This window comes from Homo sapiens, chromosome 3 (assembly GCF_000001405.40).
Source record: "Homo sapiens chromosome 3, GRCh38.p14 Primary Assembly".
Lineage (NCBI taxonomy): Eukaryota > Metazoa > Chordata > Mammalia > Primates > Hominidae > Homo > Homo sapiens.
The window spans coordinates 122,047,465-122,072,568 of record NC_000003.12 but is presented as its reverse complement, the minus strand read 5'-3'; the positions used below and the strand labels follow the sequence as shown (position 1 = coordinate 122,072,568).

Here is a 25,104-nt window from a genome sequence, read left to right as displayed (position 1 = left end):
CAAAAAGTGGGCAAGGGATATGAACAGACACTTCTCAAAAGAAGACATTTATGCAGCCAAAAGACACATGAAAAAATGCTCACCATCACTGGCCATCAGACAAATGCAAATCAAAACCACAATGAGATACCATCTCACACCAGTTAGAATGGCAATCATTAAAAAGTCAGGAAACAACAGGTGCTGGAGAGAATGTGGAGAAATAGGAACACTTTTACACTGTTGGTGGGACTGTAAACTAGTTCAACCATTGTGGAAGTCAGTGTGGCGATTCCTCAGGGATCTAGAACTAGAAATACCATTTGACCCAGCCATCCCATTACTGGGTATATACCCAAAGGACTATAAATCATGCTGCTATAAAGACACATGCACACGTATGTTTATTGTGGCACTATTCACAATAGCAAAGACTTGGAACCAACCCAAATGTCCAACAATGATAGACTGGATTAAGAAAATATGGCACATATACACCATGGAATACTATGCAGCCATAAAAAATGATGAGTTCATGTCCTTTGTAGGGACATGGATGAAATTGGAAATCATCATTCTCAGTAAACTACCGCAAGGACAAAAAACCAAACACCGCATGTTCTCACTCATAGATAGGAGTTGAACAATGAGAACACATGGACACAGGAAGGGGAACATCACACTCTGGGGACTGTTGTGGGGTGGGGGGAGGGGGGAGGGATAGCATTAGGAGATTTACCTCCTAATGCTAAATGATGAGTTAATGGGTGCAGCACACCAACATGGCACATGTATACATATGTAACTAACCTGCACATTGTGCACACATACCCTAAAACTTAAAGTATAATAAAAAAAAAATAAAGAAAAGAATGCAAAATGGTAAAACTACTTTGGGATATAGTTTAGCAGTTTCTTAAAAAAGTAAATATACTCTTACCATATGATCCAGCAGTCACACTTCTAGGTATATTTACTCAATTGAATTGAAGACTTATGTCCACACAAAACCTACACGTGAATATGTATAGCCACTTTATTCATAATTAGCAACTAAGATGCCCCTCAGTTGGTAAAGCTGTGGTATATCCAGACAATGGAATATTATGTGGTAATAAATAGAAATGAGCCATCAAGATGTGAAAAGACATGGAGAAAACTTAAATTCATATTGCTTAATGAAAGAAGTCAATCTGAAAAGGGTACATACTGTATGATTCCAAAGATAGAACATTCTGGAAAAGGCAAAACTGTGGAGACAGTAAAAAGATCAGTGGTTTCCAGGGGTTGGGGAGGGGTGGGAAGGGTCAACAGGCAGAGCACAGGGGATTCTTAGGGCAGTGAAGCTATTCTGTATGATACTATAATGGTGGATACATGACATTGTGTATTTGTCAAAATCCATAGAACTGTACAACCCAAAGAGAGAAACTTAATGTAAATTATGGGCTTTAAATAATAATAATAATGAAGCAACAATGGCTTGATCGTAAGAAATACATCACACTAATGCAAGATGGTAAAAATAGGGGAAATTGTGTTCCACAAAGGGAGTAGATGGGAATTCTCGTACTATGTGCTCAATTTTTTGAAAATCTAAAACTGTTCTAAAAATAAGTAAAGTCTGTTAATTAAAAAAAAACACACATGCTAACCACATACACGGATTTCTGGTAAAGTAACTAAATTAATAATGTGACATTTTAGAGGGCTGCTAGACTAGTGGGAAAGAAAATTAGCATCAATTTCACAGTCCACATGTTCACTTCCCTATGTTGCACCCTTGGAATCAATGCTATACATAGAACGTTGCTGCAAAAAGTCTCCTTTTGTATTTCTGCCTTTTATTTTGACACTTTCTGCATTTTTCTGGTGCAGAACCCTAGACTTTTATGTCAATTCCTTAGGTAAATTAAAGAAAAGGCCCCAGTTTTCTAAGGGCCAGATCAATTTTTAAAAATAGCTTTCAGTTCCATGTTTCTGAAGGAACATTCTTAGAAATGTAATGAGTTTCTTGTTTCTTTGAGGGGCGATACAATTTTAACTTGTACTTTAAAAGCAAATTTTACATAGTTAAGCATTAGAAGTTGAGTATTTTTCTTTGTGTGAGCCAAAATTTTGCATTTATACCATACCAGTGAGTTACCGAGGTGGGGTAGGATGGACCCTCACTCTCATAACCTCTAACATGTCCTCCACTCCCATCCTAGGCTGGCTTTTTCTGCCTCCCTAGCTGCCCTGGGGAATCTTCTTTTATTTACTTTCTCATGATGCAAATTCACACCTACCATTCATGCATGCTAAGGAAGAGGCAATGTGTATTGTTTTCTTGCATTCGATCAATTTCTGAACCCAGAAACTAGGACCCAGGGACACATTTTTGTCTAGATGTCTTCAAGCAAGAAGTCAGAAAGGCAAGGGACACCAAGAGGTATTTTCAGGATTCTACAAGTGAATGCAGAAGACTGTCTGTCTTCACTATCTCTCAAAATCACATGGTGGCTTCAGCAGCAAAATACACTTATTTGAATTGAAGACTGAATTTGCTTATATTAAAAGGTAGGTTCAGGAAAAAATTGTCAAAAGGGTAAGCATTAGGGTGTATGCATTTTAGAAAAAGTACCATTGTACTAGGGATAAGTATAGCCTTCAGATGTGCAGTTGCTTTAGCAGAAAGGGCAATGAGGAAGATGAGAAGGATGGACAGAGCTCAGGATAGAGCTCAGGCTAGTGACAACCGCAGCAAGTGGAGAACCAACAACCCCATACCCAGGGTCTAAGTGAGGTCTCTGGTCTGATGGAGACAGGGCAGAGTGGAGTTGCGGTGTTCTGGGGCATGCCTAGAATCAGGAGCTCCTGAGAAGTGTGTGGAGGAAGGTCCATCTCTGGAGGAAGGCCACAGGGGCCAGGGGTAACCTGGACCACAGGACAGGGAAGGAAGGCTAAGCCAGAGAAGGACTGTAGTGTGGGAAACTGATGGGCTCACAACTCACCCCATGGACATGGACACTAAAGACCACAGTCTAGCGGCAAGACTACATCCAGAGCACCCCTCCTTCCTCACCTGCCTGTCGTGTATCTCAACACCTAATGGCAGGGGTTGGCCAAGGTTTCAGAGGTGGTGCCAGGGCTGCATAGGAACTGGCAATCACTATTGACTCTAGCAACACACAAATATGCACATTTTCATGCTTTACCTTTGTTCCTATCCATCTTCGAATCTCAGTAATTTTTCCCATTTTCCAATAACACCTTAAAATTCACAGATGTAATTGCACAATTTGGAATTTCTAGTTTTTTTTTTTTTAATTTCCTTCATTCAATTAACAAATGCTTAACTAGCTCTGACTGAATGAAGGCCTTGGACTGGTCTTGAGATCCAAGGTGAGCTAAGAAGTGTGGTCCCTGCCCTCCTAGAGACCATAGTTGAATGCAGGAGACCTACACTGATTTAATAAAGTCAAGGTACTTGCCACCAAAAGATGTTCAACATTATACAATTTCAGTTATGTATGATATCCTCATGATTAAACACCATCTTAAGAGCATGAGGTAGATTCTAGCTAGTTGTGTAGGTTACAACTAAGAAAAGTTTTCCCCTGGTCTCTTGTCTCAGGAATAGTTTTCTCGATATATCTCTTCTCCTTCTCTTCGTATTTTAAATGGTTAGGGTGCCTGCATAAACATTTGTCATGGATAACACTGTAGAGAGGACTTCCTGGGGGAAGGACGGTCTAAGTGATTTAACTTCCTTTCCAATTTAATAATTCTGTATTCTAGTTATGCAATAGGATTTACAATCTAATCTTACAATCTCAGAACTTCTTCTGATAGGTTATACAAAAGATGGTCTATTATTTAACAAATAACATAACTATGTAACATATTTCTAATCAAATGAAATATATACAGCAGCACATTTAAAAATTAAATATCAATAAACTACCAACACCTGTGATGTCACCTTTCAGAACTCAAAGTAAACACCTGATTCCAAAACTTGTTATCCTTTCAATCTTTATCTGAGAATATTAAACCAATATTCAAAAGACTGTGATTCTGAATTTAAGTGGCCTATTTGTCTAAGGGTGTGCATTTACGTATTCTGAGAAACTGTCATTTCTTTACAAAGCACATGACATTTGCCATTTTCTTTATAACCTCAGTTAGAAGAAATAAAATGAGGTAATATTCTAAACGTAAAACTTGCTTGAAGGTTAAGTTCATATTTTTTTTTTCTATGTGTGCAGGGGAAGGGATATAATACATAACAAAACTAACACATTTTAACAAATGGGCAGCATATTTAATATTTAGGGAAGCATGAAGGTCCGTGAAAGCACCTTATGTAAAATATTTATTTGAGTATAAATTAAATGTACACTACAAAGTAAAATAAAATAGATTGGGGTATATAGAACACAGGCAATATGACTAAACTTGTTAAAAAACAAAACCAGTGGTTTTTTAAATCAGTGATTTTTTTTTTAAAGTTTCCATTTCACAACAGAGCTGGGGACGGGGCACTGCACATTCAAAAACTTACTTCCCTGTGGCAACTTTGTGACCAAAGCAAGGCACTTAAGACTTCTCTGAACACTTAAAATGTACATTTGTCAACCTGGGCTTGTAGTTTTCAAGTCGGTGATGCAGAATCATAGAGTTGCAATTTTTGCAGCTCCCTGCTACTTCCATCACATGCTTTATCTGGAAGACTTGAAGGGTCTGCCACCACACAAGAGGCATTACTCCCTGAAAGAAATTTTCTGATAAAAGAAGGTGTCAATCTTTCTACTCTTCAGCAATGTGAGTAAGGGATGGCCTCTTTTGAAAAGTGTCTCAATTTCAGCTTTACTCAAATCTTATTTAAGATTGCAAACAATCTTAACTTGCACTAGCTGGCTACAGTTTTAATGTGAGGAGTTGGAATTTTTAAGAAGGACAGCATTTGTAAACCAATTTGATCTTTGCATTTGGTGGACTGCAGATAAAATATTGCATTTGAGTTGCATTTTCACTGTGGATGGCCTATTTGCATACAAACAAAAGAGATTATTTTTAAAAGAGATTTTCTGTGTTTTTGTTTTGGTCTCTTGGGATGACTGTGGTAAGGACGAAGGGACCAGGCCATTTTCATACCTTGGATTTTACATATTGTGTTTATGTCACCCTGTATTCTTTCTTCCTCACCATCCACTTTCAATTCATTGGTGGCCAGTTTTAGAGTCTTTGTCACCTCTTGTTTGGACGATTGATTGCAACAGCCTTGTGGCTGGCTCCCTTCATTATCTTTCATGGAAAACAATTTGATTATGAAACTTCCTTCCTTTAAAGACCCGCGCCTTACTCCTCATGAGTTAGTGTTCACGCTTCTCAGCAAGACACACAAGGCCTTTCAAAGCGTGAATTCAATTTTTCTCTTCTGATTTTATCACCCAACCCATAAAACTGCCCTCACAACCCATACAACAGTTTCACTTGAACCATTCACTATTCCGTGACCATCTTCCCCACCATCCCCCACCCCTAGAACCTTTGAAAACGTTTTGCCTTCTTTACCTCTGTGGAAGCTGTTTCTTCTGCCTGGAATGTCTTCCCTGCTTTCTCTACTGCAATTCTCTACTCTTCCTTGCAGATCTAGATCATGCCACAGTTGGAGCCTGAACCCTCTTTTTTTCACCATATCTTTATCTTCCTTAGTCCCTCTTCACACTATTTATTTTTCCATTATAACAGTTTCCTCATCGTGTTAAAAATCTACTACTCATATAGTTGGCCTGCTCTGAGTTCCACAAGTTTGGGGAACGTGTTTCATTTCCCTTTGCACTCCTGGTACTTAGCATAGTAACAGGCCCAGGGTGGAGGCTCAGTTAAGTATCTATTTATTAAAGTCAATATCTATTAACTGATTACTATGAGCTACGAACTGTGCTGGAACTCTAAGGCACCCTAAGTATTTTAAATGCATTACTTCATTTAATCTTCACAATAAATATTTTTTAAAAAATTTATAGGTGAGGAAACTGCCTTTCAGAGGGTTTTGGCCAGCTGCCAAAGATCACACAGCTAGTGTGACCCTCAAGCTTTTAGCAGGATATAGAATTGAATCTGTTTTCATTTCTAGCTGATAATGCTATGTGACTGCTGTTAGAATGCTGGAGAGATGTCAGTGTCCCTTTTTTGGACAGAATGCTGAGCAGCTGGGCACCTTTTGAGTAAGTTCTTAGCCTTGTCCCTGGTCACTTCTTTCTTCCTACTCTGAGCTATGCACTTGATATTTCTTCATTCACTCTCGTATTCCTTACCCTCAGAATGTGGAAACCATTCAACCTTCTAAGTGACAAAGAAACTGAGGCTCAAAGAAGGTAATAACCTGTCCAAAGTTCCTTTAATCATAGGAAATATTTTTCTTAAGGCCCCCAAAACTGAATGGTTCTTGACTGGGACCCTCAGCCAATGCCTGAAGAGTGTGTAAAGGGATTACTCTGCCTGATTGTTTGAAAATAAAATTAGAAACATTTAAGGAGCTGGGTTTTGGCTTGTTTTTCTTTTTTTCTAACTTTTCCCCTGCAACCATGAACACTTAACAAGCCAGAGAGGTCTTCTGGAAACAGAATCTTGGGTCAGCCATAGAATGGACACATTAACTTTTCTACTGCCTGTCATCTAAACTCTCTGTTTCCTTCAAATTTACATGTCTGTATTGAGCCCCCAGTCAAGTTTCCCCCTCTCCCCCAATTCAGTTTCTTCCAACACCCAGAGATCTTGGAGAGCAGAATGCAAACGGCCTTTTCCTTAGAATCTTATTTCCTCAAAGGAGTTGGAATGGCTGGGTCCAGACTTACAAATAACCTTCATTTCTGGACTCCCAGTTCTCCTTGATCCATAGGTTATTCCTTCTTCCTTGTTAGGGCCTCACTTTCCAGACCAAAGCTCTTAGATTCAAGCATCTGCAGCATCCAAGCAGCTCATATAAATGAGGCAGGCAGGTTGCATAGGAAGAGGAGAGCTTATACACCATTGGAAGCTGGGCAGCCTCTGCCAGATTCACCAGTTGTTACCATGTGGGATTATTAGCACACTGTTACTAGATATTCTAATTCTCCAGAAGAGCTGGAAATCTAAACTTATGTGAATTCTCCAGACTTTTGAAATATTGGCAATTAATTATGATTAAGGTTTTTGTTTTGTTTTGTTGTTTTGATGACTCTCTGTCTATGGACCATTTTTAGTCCACCAGCTTTTACTTTTCAATCTCTGGCTTTTACCTTTATCGTATGGTTGCCAAAAATTGTTTTGGACATGGCTCAACACAGCTCTCTCCAAGCTCAAATCTTTTCATCCACAAATGTTTCTTGCTGCTAGAAGTAATGTCTTCCTTCCCTGATCTGCCATAATATATAGCATGGTTGTTCATAGCTTGGCTCTGGGATCAGACTGGCATTTGGAATCCTGGTTGTGTTGTCAGCTATGTAACTAAGAGAGACTCAGTTTTCACTTATGGAAAATCAGGGATAATACTACTTACCTCCTGCAGTTATGATGATTAAATGAGATCATATATGATACAATATAGTTTGCCATAATTCCTTTTAGAGGCTAAGACATATTAGCTATGGTGATATCTCTTCCCATAGAAGCTTCTAAACAGGATTTCTATCTGATTCATCTTCATCTTTCCAACATTAAATAAAACTTTATTGAATAAATTAATAGTCAAATAGTTTCAGCCCCCTACTTTCTCGCTCTGACTCACTAAAGCCTGGGCCCCAATATAATAGTCCTAAAATATTCCATTTACAATTTTCTCACTCTCTCCTGAACCTCTGATGCATTAACAGAGGTCAGAGGTAAAACTGGTGATTTATACCAAACCAGCCCCTCCAGATATTGAGCTATTATATAAATATTAGGATTTCACTGGTAAGTTTGTCTTTCTGGCTCCTCTTGAAATATAAGACTTGGCTGTTCTGAACCACATCCTTATACACAGGACAACAGAGTGGTGACCAGAAGCACTTCTTGAAATGGGGCTCGCCTGTGGACATACACAGCTTCTGCCATTCATACGTCATGGAGCTGTACGTAAACCACAGGCCTGCATCACTCACTTCTGTCATCTGAGGATCTATGTTGGCCATTTGCAGCATACGGGCTGTACCTCACTACTAGATTACTTTTCAACTTGATTTCATCCTGCTCAGCAGAGCAATGTAATTGTACTGAAGATCTGGCAATTTTAGTCAAAGAAATAACCCTATTTCCATAATCCCATCAATCAAGAGGTAACTACTATGACTATCTTATTTTTTACTATGCTATCTTATTTTTATGCTTTTTTTTTTTCCTCTTGGTGCTCCCCCTTGCTCCAGCATCATCCCCACCTTAGGAGCAGCTACCCTTCGTTGTCCTGCTTTGTCAACCCTGTGTCACAACTGTCTGGTCTGGATGGTGCAGAGGCATGGTTTATGCACTGCCTCAAAAGCTGCCTGTGAAAAGACACTTTCCCTTCCCCTTTCTCTCTTGTTTGGCTGATTCATCTGTCCTTGGATGGTTTTGCATGAGCTGACTTTTTGGAGTTGTTGGGCAGCTCCTGATCCAAGATTAAAGGACATTACTTTGTTTGTTTGTTTTGTAAACCAATATTTATGCCAAGATTTTTCTGTGCAAATATATTCTCAATTAAAACACCGGCTTCTCAATTCCTGATATGGAGCTTTCTTTCTAAAATTCTTCCTAGGCCAGGTGCGGTGGGTCACACCTATAATACAGCACTTTAGAAGGCCAAGGTGGGCAGATCACTTGAGGTCAGGAGTTTGAGACCAGCCCCATGATGAAACTGTGTCTCTACTAAAAATACAAGAAAATTAGCTGGGTGTGGTGGCGTGTCCTGAACCCGGGAGGTGAAGGCTGCAGTGAACTGAGATTGCACTACTGCACTCCAGCCTAGGTGACAACGTGAGTGAGACTCTGTCTTTAAAAAAAAAAAAAAAAAAATCTTTCTATGTACTTACTTAGTTTTAGGAACCATTTACCAAAATAAAACACACATTCTGTGGATTATTTTCTTTACAATTCTGTATGTAGCCTTATGTTGTCTTCTCTCATTAAGGAGTCATTATTAACTTCATTTTTAACTTACTTACCTATTCTTCTACTTATTTAGGTTGATTCTTATTTTTCATTACATTAAATAATGTAATAAACATTTTGGTGCACAAATATGTTTCCGTAGCTCTTGTTATTTAACTAGCTAGATCCCTAGAGGTGAAATTATTAAAGCAAGATATATAAACATTTTTATAATTAAAAAATGGTAGTTTATATATCTTCTAGAATTAGAAGTGTAAGTTTGAATACAGTTCATGATTACTAATGAGCAAAAAAATCTTTGTAAATGAAAAGCAAACTTAAAATATTTGAAGTCCAGAAAGCGAAAAAGAAAGTTTTCATAGACAACTTCATGAAAGCACTTACGTGATTACAGTTATAGAATAGAATTTTATTTTAATGATTTTGGCACCCTACCTTACATAAAATTTATTTTAGGCAGCTTTGTTGCTTGACTTTCACCTGATTCAACTGCATTTGGCATGCCCTTCTCTTATCTATAGTTAGGAGGTCTACTATAGCAACTTCTAGGTTATAGGTAAGAGTCCATCTGCTGGAAATCAATCAGAAAAGGCAGAGCTAAAGAACTCTGACAATTAAAAATATAGGAAATAATAGATTTTAAAGCAAAGAATGTGAGTCCTAAAATATCTTATATCCATAGGACTTCCTGTCCATTATAAATTGTTATATTCCTCATGGCATTGGCAAGTGCTTAGTAGCCTCATCTTACAGAGGACACTGAAGTTCAGGAAGCTAATAGGCTTCCCAAAGTGATACCACTAATAAATAGAAGATGATTTATTAACTACTTATTATTTGATACCAACCAAACTAGCTCAAAACCCTGGCATTTATCTAAGACATCATACTGCCTACAGACAAATAGGAAACAGCTACCTTCATGCTCCTATGAAACGTCACACCCTGTTATAAAAAACTCTTATAAAAAATCACCTTTGATATATTTACCACAAAACTGAAATTCTTGAGAACAGAAATCATGTTTACTCATACTCATCTTTGGTGTATTTTTAATGTTTAGCACAGTGCCTGGAACAAAGATGCTGAATGAACTGAAAAAAAATGTACTAAGGACATGGAGAAATTGGCAGTGCCCAGAATGGGTGTCTGCTTGTACAACCATTTTTAAGACTCTTGATATTGTTGACATATTGCTTTCCAGAAATGTTCTCCCCATTCATATTCCCACAATCAGTAGTATACGAAAGTATCCTCTTATTGCATACTTATTAGCATGATTACTCCCAACCCTCCCAAAATCCATATAAATTGTTAATTTGTAAAAGGAGAATATCTTGTGTTTGAATTGGCATTTTTTTTAATATTTAGTGAAGATGAACATTTTTAGTTTTTGTTTTTTTTTTTTACTTTTTAAACTTTTCATTTTTAAATAATTATTGATTCAAAAGAAGTTGAAAAAATGTACAGGGAAGTCCTGTGTACCTTCACCCAGCTTCCTTCAGTGGTAACATCTTGCACACACAGTTTGTGTTACGATTCACCCACTGAGGGACTTTTTTCCCCAGTTTTTTACTATTATGAATAAAGCTGGTATAAATATTCATATACTGATTTTTGCAGGAGCATAGGCTTTTATTTCTCTGGGATCAAAACCCAAGAATGCAGTTGCTGGGTCATATACTAAATGCATGTTTGGTTTTATAAGAAACTGCCAAACTGTTTTCTAGAGTGGCTTGACCATTGTACATTCCCAACAAGCAATGTATGCATGATCCAGTTTCTCCGCATCCTGCCATCATTTGGTGTTGTCATTATCTTTTATTATTTTAACCATTTTTATAGGTAGGTAGTGGTTTAATTTTTTCATAAAGGCAAATGATGTTGACTCTCTTATATGGTTGTTCACCATCTGTATATTTTCTTTGGGGAAATGTCTTTTTATATCTTTTGCCCATTTTTCTGATTGGATTGTTTGTTTTACTGTCTAATCTGATACAGGAAAATATCTCATTGGTGTTTGAATTGGCATTTCTTTAGTATTTGGTGAGAATGAACTTTTTGTCATGTTTATTTCTTTTTAAAAGTTACTGAATTATTAACTGCATTAATTGTTTTTGTCATTTCATAATTGTGGGTTTCTATTTCTAAATAGACTTGAAAAAAAGTATCAGCAATTTCATTTGTATTCATCACAGTACCTTAAACTATCAGGCTCTTGATAAAGATTTATTGTTTAGTTGGTTGAAAATAGTTGTAATATTGGGGTGATAATCTAGGTTGGCCTTGATTAATCTAGGTAGTTGAGTATTTTAGGTTTATCCAGTTTTACCATTTTCTGGCGTGTATTGACTAATTGGTTCACTTAACCAAATGTTCATTCCTTTTATTTTTACTTGATGTTTTAGTGCAAATCTGATTCGACACCTAATAATATAGAGCTGTGACATTAGGGTTGTTTGGCTTATCATATTCCTGCCACTACAGAAAGATTAATTTTGACTCAAAGCTTTCTAAGAAAGTGTTTTAATACTTCTCTATTCCAAACTCTAATGGGTTTTTTTTCCCATTCTGTTTATTGATGTAAATTATAAATGATCCCTGAAATTCCTCTTGGGCTTGTTTTCTTCTTTATCTCACCAGATTCACCAGAGGCTTTACCTCTGCGAAGCCTCAAATCTCAACTTGCCTCTGAACTGATAATACAGAATAGAATCTGTATGTTATGTGCACTCAAAATCCAACATGTAAAATGACTGCAAAAATTATTTTCTTCCAGAAATCCTTCCCAAACTAGTTTTGGGTGGGAAAAATAAAGTATTGGATTTTATTTTTGGTTAGCCTTTTTTTTTAATTTAAATTAAAATTTTTTTAGGAATGGGAGTCTCGCTATGTTGCTCAGACTGGTCTTGAACGGAACTCCTCGCCTCAAGCCATCCTCCCACCTCCGCCTCCTGAGTCACTGGGATTACAGGCATGAGCCATTGACCTCAGCTCTGTTTAACCTTTAAAATGGAGGAAGGAAGAACTCTGGGTCTGGCTGGCCTGACTCCAGATTATTTCCACCGACAGCAGAGGTGAGTTTACTCCAGTGAGGAGGTCTCATTTTATCACCAGACTTTCTGCAGGAGACCATCTGTGCTGCCTCCATTTTCCAAGCTCTCCAAAGTCTACTGCCTCCACTCAACTGGGAGTGTTCTGCAAAGGTCAAGGTCACTGAGGGCCTCTGGACTGACATTTTCAGTCATTCTCCTACTTCGCCTTTCTGCAGAATTTGACCTGTGACTACACTCTGCTTTGTGAAATGTTTCTACTCTTAATTTAAGTGATGTAATCCTGTTTTGGTTTCTTTCCCTCCTCCCTGATGCACTTATTCACAGCTTCTTTCTCTGGCTGTATGCACTCTCACCAAGTGTATTAGTTTGCTGGGGCTGTGGTAACAAAGTACCACAAACTGGGGTGGCTTAAACAAAAAAAATTTATTTTTTTTCTGGAAGCCAGGAGTCCAAACTTAGGGTTTCCACAGGGTTGGTTCTTTCTGAAGGTTGTGAGGAAAGAATCTGTTGCGAGCCTTTCTCTCTGGCTTGTATGTGGATGGCCGTCTTCGCCCTGTGTCTTCACACCGCTTTTCCGCTGTGTGTTTCCCTTCCTTACAATAAGCACAACAATTGTCTTGGATTAGGACCCACCCTAATGACCTCATTTAAATTTTATTATCTCTGTAAAGACCCTATCTCCAAATATGATCAAATCCTGAAGCCCTGGGAGTTAGGATTTCAACATATGAATTTTAAGGGAGCCACAATTCAACGCTTAACATGTAGTCACTACAGTTACCTTTCATGTCACATCTCATGTGTTCAACATGGAAAGCTTGGTAAATATGCTCTTTCCATGAATGCATTCTCCTCTTTCTTGCATCCATCTCCCCACTTGATTTCTTTCTTTTTTTTTTTTTTTTGAGACGGAGTCTCACTCTGTCACCCAGGCTGGAGTGCCGTGGTGCTATCTCAGCTCACTGCAACCTCTGCCTCCTGGGTTCAAGCTATTCTCGTGCCTCAGTCTCCCAAGTAGCTGGGACTACAGGCCCACTTGATTTCTATGACACCACTTTTCTCCTGGGCTGCTCCAGTCTCTCTAGCCCCTCCTTAGTATCTATTGTAGATTCTTCTTCCTCATCTCCCTCCTTAGATGTCAAGGTTTTCCAGGTTCTGTCCTTGGCTTCCTCTCAATCCTCCAACCTCTCTGCTACTGAATTGACCCACAATGAGAATTTCAACTGTCAACCATACTTATGCAGAAGACTCTTCATGTGCATTCCAGGCCATCCCTCTTTTTTGAACTTGCACCTAAATATCTACTTGTCTGCTTGGACATCTCTATCCAGCTGCTCCACAGGCACCTCAAACTCAACATGTTAGAGAAGGAATTCACCATCTGTCTTTTCTCTCTGCCTGGCGCAAACCCACTCTGCTTCCTATACCTTCCATTTTGTGAAGGATGCCACTATGCACTTAGATCTCTCCTCCTCTCCCAGTGTCTACATCTGTCAAAAACCAAATTCTGTCAATTCTGGTGCTAAAATATCTCTTAAATGCATCCTCTCCAGTCTGATCCCACCATAACTGCCCTGGTTTCATGCCCTCGCCATTTCTCCTTGGCTTACTCCAATAGTCTCCTAAATGATCTCCTTGTCACTCCAAATCAGTTTTCATTCTTCTGCCAAGGGATTTTTTTTAAAGTAAATTTTATCATGTCTCTATTTGTTTATGATTCTTCAAACTTAGGCTGTTCCTTTAGGATGATCATAGCTGGATGCCTGGACTGTGGGCTCCTTGTTCTGGCCCCACCCAGCTTCTTTCTCTATTATTACTCCCCATTAGGCATCTTCTCAAAGCTATACTTAAAATTCCCCCATGCACCTAGACCCCATTTGTCTATTTAATTACCCAGGTCTTGAGACTTTAAACCACATTAACCTCCCGTGAAGCCCATAGCTGGTGGCCTACAAAAGCCCCAGTAGCTCTGAGTCATCTGCTCTCTCTTGCACTAGCTCTTTGCTCCAGGCTTCATTCCTGCTCCTAAGTTGACTCTCAGTTTCCTTAACTTCACCTGCCTTTCTACCATTTGGCTTCCCACTGTCATCAGTCACTCCCTGGAGGCTGGCCTTGTCCTGGGTACTGCTTGTTTTAGATCAGCTCCTCCATCCCAAAAGCACAACTTGGGGTTGTCCTGCCAGGCACAGAGGATACTGAACATTTCTGCTGGAAAAAACCTTCCTCCATTCTGTTCTTAGTAATGCCATTAAGTGGTTGTATAATCTTGGACAAATCACTTTTCCTCTGTTTCTTAATCCAAACAGTAATAGTAATAAAAACTACTAACAATTCCTGAGTACTTAGCAGGATATGGATTATCTCATTAAAATCTCACAACTACTTTACGACATATTACCATACTCCCATTTTACAGACAAGAAACTGGGAATTACAATGGTTAAGCAACTTGTCCAAAATCACATAGCTAGGAAGTTGGGGAACTGGTATTCAAACCCCAGCAGCCTGGCTTCAATGTGCGGCCACTTAGCCACTGCACTGTCCTCCCTCTCAATATGCAACTCACCCTAGAGAGCCATGCAATCACTTCTGTAAAATAAGGGAAGAGTGCTGCAGCCTGTTCTAAATATAAAATTCTATCAGAACATGCCTTTCAAGATCTAATGAGTTATGGGTAGAGTGGGTGTATTTTGAAGAGGATTCAAGAGATGAAGAAAGATAAATGCAAAGGGCTAAAGCCCTAACTATGGAATCTCACAACTTATAAATTATCACACATCACTAGATGGTTACTTCTCTGAAAAAAACCAGCTATTGTTTTTTTTAAATCTTAAATATTTAACTTTATTTTTCTGCCTACAGATGGGATTCAAATTGAAAAGCACACAGTAGAAAATACAAACTACCTATATTTCTGATTAATATTGTTTGTATACATGTATCATGTATAAAAGTGATAGCACTGTTCGTTCTGCATTTTTCCCCTTTAACTAAACACATTATGAATTGTTCTACAGTGGAATTTTAAATAATTACATGGTATTCCATTATGGATGTTCCATAATCATCCAATCACTTGTTTTTAAACACGTAAATTGTTTCTAAGATTTTCCTTATTAGAAACAATAGCAAGAAAAATATCCATCACTAAAACTTTACAAACATGTATTATTATATCTTAGAATAAATTCCTAAAAGGTGAATTGCTTGGTTAAAGGGCATATACATTTTAAAGGCTTTTGATATGTATCACTAGATTATTGTCCAGAAAGATGATATCACCACTAGTGCGCAACTAGGGTACAAATAATCCTCCCTTCTTAGCAAGATAGAGGGTTCTTGATTGCTTGCTTTTTAAAACTTAATATTTATCTCTTTGATAGAGAAAAAATGATACTTCACTGTTGTTTTAATTTGTATTTATTTCATCTCTTATGAGAACAGACATTGTTTAATGGCTATTACTGGTTCATGACCAATCTTCAGGCACTGTGAAACAAAAGGAATCTTAACAAGTTCAATATAGACAGCAGCCTATGGTTTTTTAGACCTCTGCAGACAGTGCTAGCATAATTAAGTAGTATCCCCTCTATGGTACCACAAAAATTATAAATTTTGAAATTCTTTTTTTCTTCATACAAGTATAACGCTTCAAAATTCCACTGGAGCAAAAGGAATCTTTACTGGAAAATTAAATTTTAATCTTCTGAAATAAAAGCAACAAAGCTTTTTCTCAAACCAGTAAGCACTGGGTAGATGAAAGTTACTTCGATTTTCAAAGAACAGTAATTATAAATACATAGTGACGGCCGGGTGCGCGGTGGCTCACGCCTGTAATCCCAGCACTTTGGGAGGCCGAGGTGGCCAGATCACAAGGTCAAGAGATCGAGACCATCCTGGCCAACATGGTGGACCCCGTCTCTACCAAAAATACAAAAATTAGCCGGGCGTGGTGGTGGGCGCCTGTAGTCCCAGCTACTCAGGAGACTGAGGAAGGAGAATCGTTTGAATCCGAGAGGCGGAGGTTGCAGTGAGCTGAGATTGCGCCACTGCACTCCAGCTTGGCGACAGAGCGAGACTCTGTTTCAAAAATAAATAATTAAAAATAAATAAATACATAGTGACTGGCGCCAGCTGCCACCACCCAAGAGAAGGGCGGGTGTGACTCCTTCCAGGAAGTCTCCACAGCATGGAGAAACCTTCTGGCGCACCACGAAGCGGGCAGGAAAGATTTTAGCTCTACCCCTTATGAATAGTGTGAACTTGGGCAAGTTTTTTAAGCCACAGTTACCCCATCTGTCAAAAAGAATGATGATGTCTTTCCAAAAGTCATTGTGAAGAATAAAATTCAATGAAATAGCACTAGTAAAGTACCCAGCACATCATGCATGTTCAATACATGGTAACTAATTTAATCACTCTACCTCCTTCCACTACCCAACCCTGCCCAGAATCTCCCATGGCCTGATTATGACATATTAACTGAGTTTTGCATTTTCTCCTTATACCTCTTTTTTCTCTTTCTTTTTCTTGATCTCTCTCCCTCTACCTTCTCTATCTCATTCCTCCACCCTCAGACCAAACTGACCCTGGTAGACAAAAAACATATTCCCTGTTATTTGTCATTCTTATGCAGATATTTTAAAAATTCCTGATTCTTCACTAAAATCAATGACTGTAACATTCAGTATTTGAATAACAGATTTACAAAACCAAAATTAGGCACCTAAAAATATATATAACTACCACCAATGAACTGCTTTGGGCATTGCAAATAATTCTTGCCTTTATGTGCCAAAGATCTTTTGTAGAAAAAGAAAGCTTCTCCACTTAGGAACTAAGTGAAGGACACACATCAAAGCACCATCTTCAACCTCAGCCTTTCACTGCAGTCACAACTCATAACTTCTCTGCAAAGAATAAGAATTATTACTCACCACTGGGGATCCATTTTGGCTGCTTCTGCTGTGACCTAATATCTGGAAATGACCCCACTCATCCGTGTGTCTGTGCTAGTCCCTGTTACAGCAGCAGAGAAGCAAAGCTTTCACCCTGTGCAAGCCTTCCTCGGCAATGACTGTATACCTACCCAGCTAACTTTCTTTAAGAGAAGCTGTTCCTCTTTTCTCTACAGATTTTGACCACACTTGAGGAAGAAATTTAACCCTTTCCTTGCAGTTTAAACTCATTGACGTAGGTCTATATGTATTAAAGAATATATAATTCAGTAGCTTGAGTTCCAGACATGACGTTAAGATGAGCCTGAATAAAAAATCTCCCCTCTTGAAATTCCCTCAAAAAACCTAGAAAATAAAATAATTAGAAAGAGAAAACAAACCTCCGCAGCAACAAAATAGAATAAAGAGGCATTCTACAGATTTTGATAAGATAATAAAAAGTGATTTATTGTGGATGTGGATTGGGAGTGAGTAGCCACCTAACCCTGCCAATTTCCACAACCAAAGTGTGGAGAGTTTCACTGAGCTGGGGTGGGGGGATGGGAGATGGGGAGATGTTCTGTAAGGACTGCATAACCAAGGAGGGCAGACAGAAGCTACTGCTTTTATTATTTCATTCCTACTATAGCCAAGGATTACATTGATGAAAGCGAATATTCTGAAACAGAAGTCTGAAAAAAAGGCAGCATTATAAAATTAATAGATGTCCCTAAGAGACAAACATAGAATTAATCAAGCAGAAACTATACTAGAAGATATTTCCTCGTATGAATTAAAATGGGCATCATCTAGAAACTCAAACTGTTTAGTGTATCAAAGCAAAAGTTATGAAAATCGATTCTCATCCAGACAAATCATTTTGAACATTTTAAATTCCAAAGGCAAAGCTAAAAACAAAATGAAAACAGAATGACTACAGAGAAACAAAAAACAACTTGGCATCTTACTCAACCCTAAATGGCAAAAAACAACAGAACAATATCTGCAGAATTTTGAATTAGCATTATCTACCTAGATAAGATGCCAGTTAAGTGTCAAGTCAATAGAAATATGTCACCAAGCAGGCAAGAAAACAACAACTGCAACAGAAATACCACCACCAAGACAGCCTTCCTAAATAAATTATTTAAGGATATATTCCAGAATAATAAATGAATTAAAATAGCCTTAAAATGGAGAAGCCATGGCTGAAAACACCAGTGCTGAGCTTTAAAGCAAGTTAAACATGGAGAAATAAGGCTAAATAATTATAAATTAGTTTAGACCAAAATGCTAAATAAGAAAAACTTATTAGAAGTAGATTACATATATTATTTCAAGGAAGTTTAAAAATAGCAGATGACATCACTGCTAACTAGAGCAAGGAAGCAAAATCAACACAATTATTAATCTTCAAATAAGAAGATAGAACAATGATTATTTTATCAACTTTGATAATTTCATCTGGATTTGAGAATTTTAAAAAATGAAGACAGCAATAATATAAGTTATCTATCTTCAAAATTATTGCAGAGCAGGAGTGCAAATAAAATAGTATTTATAACTACATAACACATCAGAAATAAGATGAGATAAAAAAATCCATGTAAACCTCATTTGTTATAAATATTAAATATTAAAGGTATGGGATGTCATTTTTCAGTTTCTTGGTAGCAGTGTACACACTCAAATTTCCATTTCTTGGTATCAATGCATACACTCAAATTTTTATTTAAGATAGCATAAGCATTTTCTCCTGTTATCATAAACTTTTTAGTAGTCATTAAATAGTACATTAATAGTACATCAAGTATACACTGTGAAAGCTGGCTGTAATGGCACATACCTGTAATCCTGGCTACTCAGGAGGCTGAGGTGGGAAGATTGCTTGAACCCAGGAGTTTGAGAACATCTTGGGCAACATAATGAGACCTTGTCTCATACACACAAAAAAGGTATATATTGTAGTAAAATTATCTTCCTAATATCAGACAGTTTTAGCTTTTAGTATTTTTATATTACAATTTTCTAATTAATATATTTAGTATATACATTTAGGAGTTTTTAGTATTTATTAGTTATCCATTGCTGTATAACAAATTATCTCAAAATTTATTTCCTTAAAACAATAAATGTTTAGGGATTGATATCCAGAATATATGATTAAAAAAACTCCTACAACTTTGCAGAAGAAACAACAAACAATTAAAAAGTAGGCAAAAGAGTTGAACAGACATTTCTTCAAGGAAGATATAGAAATGGCCAATATCACATGAAAATGTGCTCAAAACCACTAGTCATTAGGGAAATGCAAATCAAAACCACAGTGAACGTCAGCAAGATGGCAGAATGAGAAACCCCAGCCTGTGCTCCCTCCCAGAGAGACACTAACTTAACTATACACAGACCAATTCCTTTTGTGAGAAATCCAGAAGCTGGCTAAGAGGCTACATCACACTAGGTGAGCAAAAAAAACAACTGCACTGAAGCCAGTAGGAAAATTCACGGTATACCCTCACCATAGTCTGTCCTCTCGGCACAGGGCCACATGGTTAGGAGGAAATTCCCAGTTTTTGGCTTCTCCCTGAAGAAGAAATGAGAAGACTAGACCATATATCCAAAGTTCTGACTTTTTGGCCGGGCGCGGTGGCTCATGCCTGTAATCCCAGCACTTTGGGAGGCCAAGGCAGGCGGATCACTTGAGGTCAGGAGTTTGAGATCAGCCCGGTCAACATGGTGAAACCCCATCTCTACTAAAAATACAAAAATTAGCCAGGCATGCTGGCACATTCCTCCCAGCTACTTGGAAGGCCGAGGCAGGAGAATTGCTTGAACCCGGGAGGCGGAGGTTGCAGTGAGCCGAGATTGCGCCATTGCACTCCAGCCTGGGCGAAGAAGCGACGCTCCGTCTCAAAACAACAACAACAACAAAAAACCAAAGTTCTGACTTTCCTGGGGGCTGCCTGAGGGACTAGCCTCTGTCTTACCTGTCTTAGAGAGTTTATAGGACCCACCATACTCTAGATGCCTGGGGGACACTGAGAACAAAAAAATACTGGGTGATATATTGCTGTCCTAGAGGGTTCTTGCTACAGCAGATACAGACTGATACAGTTCAGTGGCCTATCCCTAGGGGACATGGAAAAGAGTGAAGCATGCAACCAATATTCCTGCTTTTTGGGGAAATGGGGAGATGCCCATAGGATTGGTTTCTTTCTTGTCTGTCTTGAATCACTGGCATACTCTAGATGCCTGGGGCCCCATGAAAAGAAACCAAAGAGCTAAATAGCATGATGCTATTTCAGAGGACCTGTGGCACAGCAGAGGCCAATACAGCTCAGTGCCCTCTTCTTCAGGAGGGCAAGAGAAAAATAGAACATGTGTCCAGAATTCTGGCTTTTCAAAGGGCTGCCAAAGGGACTGGTTTCCATGTAGCCCCACTTAAGGCAGAGAAGGTCTAACATACTCTAGAAGACTAGGGGCTGCCAAGATCAAAAAAAAAGAGCTGGACAGTGTGCTGCTACTTTGGAGGACACACACTATAGAAGATAGACAACAGATGGAGCAAGAGATAATGAACTCTTAAAAAAGAGAAGCCAGAAAATCTCTCTACTTAGGAATCTACGTGCATAAGCCCAGAGAAAACGTATCCACAGAAAATGTTTGAGAGGTCCCCAGAATCTTTAGCCAGGCTAAAGATTATGAAGGTCTTTCCCAGTACAAAGCCGGCTGGTAAAGACTGGAAGAAGTGGCTGGTTTGTTGTTGTTGTTGTTGTTTGTTTGTGTGTTTTGTTTTTTAATATGCAGATACCAACACAAAGTTCTAAGAAATATGAAGAAACGGGAAATGGTCAAGTCAAAGAAACAAAATAAGTCTCCAGAAACAGATCCTAAAGAAACAGAGGTATATGAATTATCTGACAAAAAATTCTAAATAACCATCATATTGATGCTCAATGAGTTCAGGAAAGTGATGCATGAACCAATGAGAAATTCAATAAGGATAGAAAATATTAAAAGGAACCAAATAGAAATTTTGGAGCCAAAGAATGCAATTTTAACTGAACTAAAACATTCACTAGAGGGGTTCAACTACAGACTTGATCAAGCAGAAGAAATAATCAGCAATTCAATTACAAGTCATTTGAAATTATCCAGAGGAGCAAAAAGGAACAATAAAAATAGCAACAAAGAAAATAAGTAAAGAAAGCCTGAGAGACTTATTGGACACCATCAAATGTACCAATATATCTATTAGAGCAGTCCAAGAAAGAGAAGGGTTGGAGAGCTCATTTAAAGAAATAATGGCTGAAAACTTCTCAAATCTGAGGGAGAAAATGGACTACAGATCCAAGAAGCCCAATAGGCCTAAATAAGATGAACCCAAACAAATAGACACTGAAGCACATTATAATCAAATTGTCGAAAGCCAAAAAGAGAATTTTGAAAGCAACAAGAGAAAAGCAGTTCATTACATACAAGGACACTCCTATAAGATTAGCAATGGATTTCTTAGCAGAAACTTTGAAGGACAAAAGGGAATGGGATGAGGTATTAAAAGTGCTGAAAGAAAAGAACCAGCCAACCAAGAATACTCTCTCTGGCAAAACTAGCCTTCAAAAATGAGAAATAAAGACTTTCCTAAACAAACAAAAGCAGAATAAGATCATCACTAGAGTTGCCTTTCAAGAAATGCTAAAGAGAGTCCTTGAAGTTGAAATGGAAAGATACTAAACAGCAATACAAAAACATGAAAGTATAAAGCTAACTGGTAAAGATAGATATATAGACAGGTACAGAATACTGTAATAGTGTAACAGTATTGTGTAAATCACTTAATTCTGGTATAAAAGTTAAAAAAAACAAAAGCATAGAAGTAATTATAATTATAAAAATATATTAATGGCTGTACATTATTAAAAATATAATTTGTGACATCCATAACTGTGGGGGGGGGGAAGTAAAAGCAAAGTTTTTATATGAAGCTGAATTTAAGTTTTATCGGCTTTAAAAAGATAGTTATATCTATAAGCTGTTTTATGTAAGTCCCACAGTGAGCACAAAGAAAATACCTATGGAATTTCCACAAAAGAAAGTAAGAAAGGTATAAAATCATGTCACCATAAAAAATCCATGAAACACAAAGGAAGATAGCAAGAGATAAAAAGAGCAACAGAATAGCTACAACACAAAAAACAAATTTCAAAATGTTGATAGTAACCCCTTTTCTATCAATAATTACTTTAAATATAAATGGACTAAGCTGCCCAAATGACATAGCACAGTTGAATGAGTTTTAAAAAAATAAGATCCAACTATGCACTGTCTACAAGATTCACTTTAGATTTAAGAACACACATAGGCTGAAAGTATAAGGATGGAAAAATATTCCATGCGAATGATAACCAAAAGAGGGCAGGAGTAGCCATACCTACAAAAGATAAAATAGACTTTATCTTCGTCTGTTTGTGCAACTGTAGTAAAATATCTGAAACTGGGTAATTTATAAATAACAGAAATTGATTTCTTACAGCTATGGAGATTGGGAAGTCAAAGGTTCTGGCATTCAAGTCTTGTGAAGGCTTTCTTGCTGTAACCTCACATGGTGGAAGAAGGACAAAAAGAGATGAATTGCTGTGTCCTCACATGGTGGAAGAGTAGAAGAGAAAAAAGGGCCTAAGCTAGTTCTGTCTAGGCATTTGATGAGGCTATAATCCATCCATGAAGGCAGATATTTCATTATTTAATCACGTCCCAAGAGGCTCCACCTCTTAAAACCACCACAATGGGGATTAAGTTTCAACCCATGAATTTTTGGGGACATTCAGACCATAACAGACTTTAAATCAAAAATTGTCAAAAGAAACAAAGAAAGACATCATATAATGATAAAAGGTTCAATTCACCAGAAAGATATAACAATGATAAATTTATATGCACCAACATCAGAACACCTAAGTATATGAAGCAAACATTGGCAGAACTGAAGGGAGAAATAGACAGCAACATGATAATAATAGAGGATTTTAATACCCTAGTTCCAATAAAGGTTAGAACATCTAGACAAAAGATCAATTAGTTAACAAGGGGCTTGATCGACACTATAGACCAAATGGACCTGATAAACATACACAGAACATTCTACCTAATAGCAGAAGAATTCACATTTTTCCCAAGAACACACAGAACATTTTTTTTTAATAGATCACATGCTGGATCACAAAACAAGTCCTATCACATTTAAGATTGAAATAATACCAAGTACCTTTTCCAATCACAATGGAATGAAACCAGAAATCAATATTAGAAGGAAAATTGGAAAATTCACAAATATGTGGAAATGCAACAACATACTCTTGAACAAATGGGAAATTAGAAAATATCTAGAAACAAAGAAAATAACATACCAAACTTTATGGAATGCAGCAAATGCAATACTAAGAGGGAAGTTGATAACAATAAACATATTAAAAATATCTCAAATAAAAAATCTAACCCTACATGTTAAATAACTAAAAAAAGAAGAACAAGCTAAGCCCAAAGTTAGCAGAGAAAGGAAATAATGATTAAAGCGTAATGGTGGCTTATGCCTGTAATCCCAGCACTTTGGGAGCCCAAGGTAGGAGGATCACTTGAGGCCAGGTGTCCAAGACCAGCCTGGGCAACGTAGCAAGACCCTGTCTCTATAAAAAAAAAGAGAAGACTCAGATAAGATGAAAAATGAAACAGGAGACATTGCAATTGATGCCACAGAAATTAAAAAAATATTGTAAGAGACTGCTGTGAACACTTACGTTCCAACAAATTGGATAACCTAAAAGAAATGGACACATTCCTAGAAACAGAACCTACCAAAGCTGAATCATAAAGAAATAGATAATCTGAACAGACCTGTAACTAGTAATCAGATTGAATCATCAATCAAAAGCTTCCCATTAAAGAAAAGCTCAAGACCAGATGACTTCACTGGTGAATTCTATCAAACATTTAAAGAAGAATTAACACTAATCCTTCTCAAACTCTTCCAAAAATTTGAAGAGGATAGAACACTTCCAAACTCATTTTACAAGGCCAGTGTTAACCTGACAGCAAAGCCAGAAAAAGACACTACAAGAAAAGAAAACTACAGGCCAATATCCCTGATGCAAAAATCTGCAATAAAATACTAGCAAACCAAATTCTATAGTACATTAAAAGGATTATACTCTATGACCAAGTGGGATTTATCCCTGGAATGCAAAGATGATTCAACATATGAAAATTAGTATGGTACATCATTAAAATCATATGGTCATCTCAATAGACACAGAAAAAATACTTGGTAAAATTTAACACTCTTTCATCATAAAACCCTCAACAAACTAGGAATAGAAGGAAAGAAGGAATTTACCTCAACATAATAAAGGGGATATGTGAAAATCCCACTGCTAGCATCACACTTAATGGTGAAAAACAGAAAGCTTTTCCTTGATGAGGAACAAGGTAAGTCTGCCTACTTCATCACTTCTATTCAACACAGTGCTGGATGCCCTAGCCAAACAATTGGGTAAGAAAAAGAAATAGGTGGGAGGAGCCAAGATGGCCGAATAGGAACAGCTCCGGTCTACAGCTCCCAGCGTGAGCGACGCAGAAGACGGGTGATTTCTGCATTTCCATCCGAGGTACCGGGTTTATCTCACTAGGGAGTGCCAGACAGTGGGCGCAGGCCAGTGGGTGCGTGCACTGTGCGCAAGCCGAAGCAGGGCGAGGCATTGCCTCACTTGGGAAGTGCAAGGGGTCAGGGAGTTCCCTTTCTGAGTCAAAGAAAGGGGTGACAGACGCACCTGGAAAATCGGGTCACTCCCACCCGAATATTGCGCTTTTCAGACCGGCTTAAAAAACGGCGAACCACGAGATTATATCCCACACCTGGCTCGGAGGGTCCTACGCCCACGGAATCTCGCTGACTGCTAGCACAGCAGTCTGAGATCAAATGCAAGGCGGCAGCGAGGCTGGGGGAGGGGCGCCCGCCATTGCCCAGGCTTGCTTAGGTAAACAAA

At 38.0% G+C, this 25,104-nt stretch overlaps 2 protein-coding genes across 4 annotated transcripts in view; one reads left to right on the top strand and one right to left on the bottom strand.

Annotated features, from left to right (window-relative positions):
- CD86 (CD86 molecule) overlaps nucleotides 1-17,207 on the bottom strand; it is a 65,775-nt gene extending 48,568 nt beyond the window's left edge. For all 3 annotated transcript variants that reach the window (NM_175862.5, NM_001206924.2, NM_001206925.2), the window contains exon 1: nucleotides 17,066-17,207. In NM_175862.5, the coding sequence (NP_787058.5) occupies nucleotides 17,066-17,079 (14 nt within the window). In that variant the 5' untranslated portion in view covers nucleotides 17,080-17,207. The remainder of the gene's footprint in view (nucleotides 1-17,065) is intronic.
- Nucleotides 10,914-25,104, top strand: part of ILDR1 (immunoglobulin like domain containing receptor 1) — a 74,333-nt gene continuing 60,142 nt past the window's right edge. The window contains exon 1 of the mRNA XM_047448044.1: nucleotides 10,914-12,149. The gene's annotated coding sequence lies outside the window, so the exon portion shown is untranslated. The remainder of the gene's footprint in view (nucleotides 12,150-25,104) is intronic.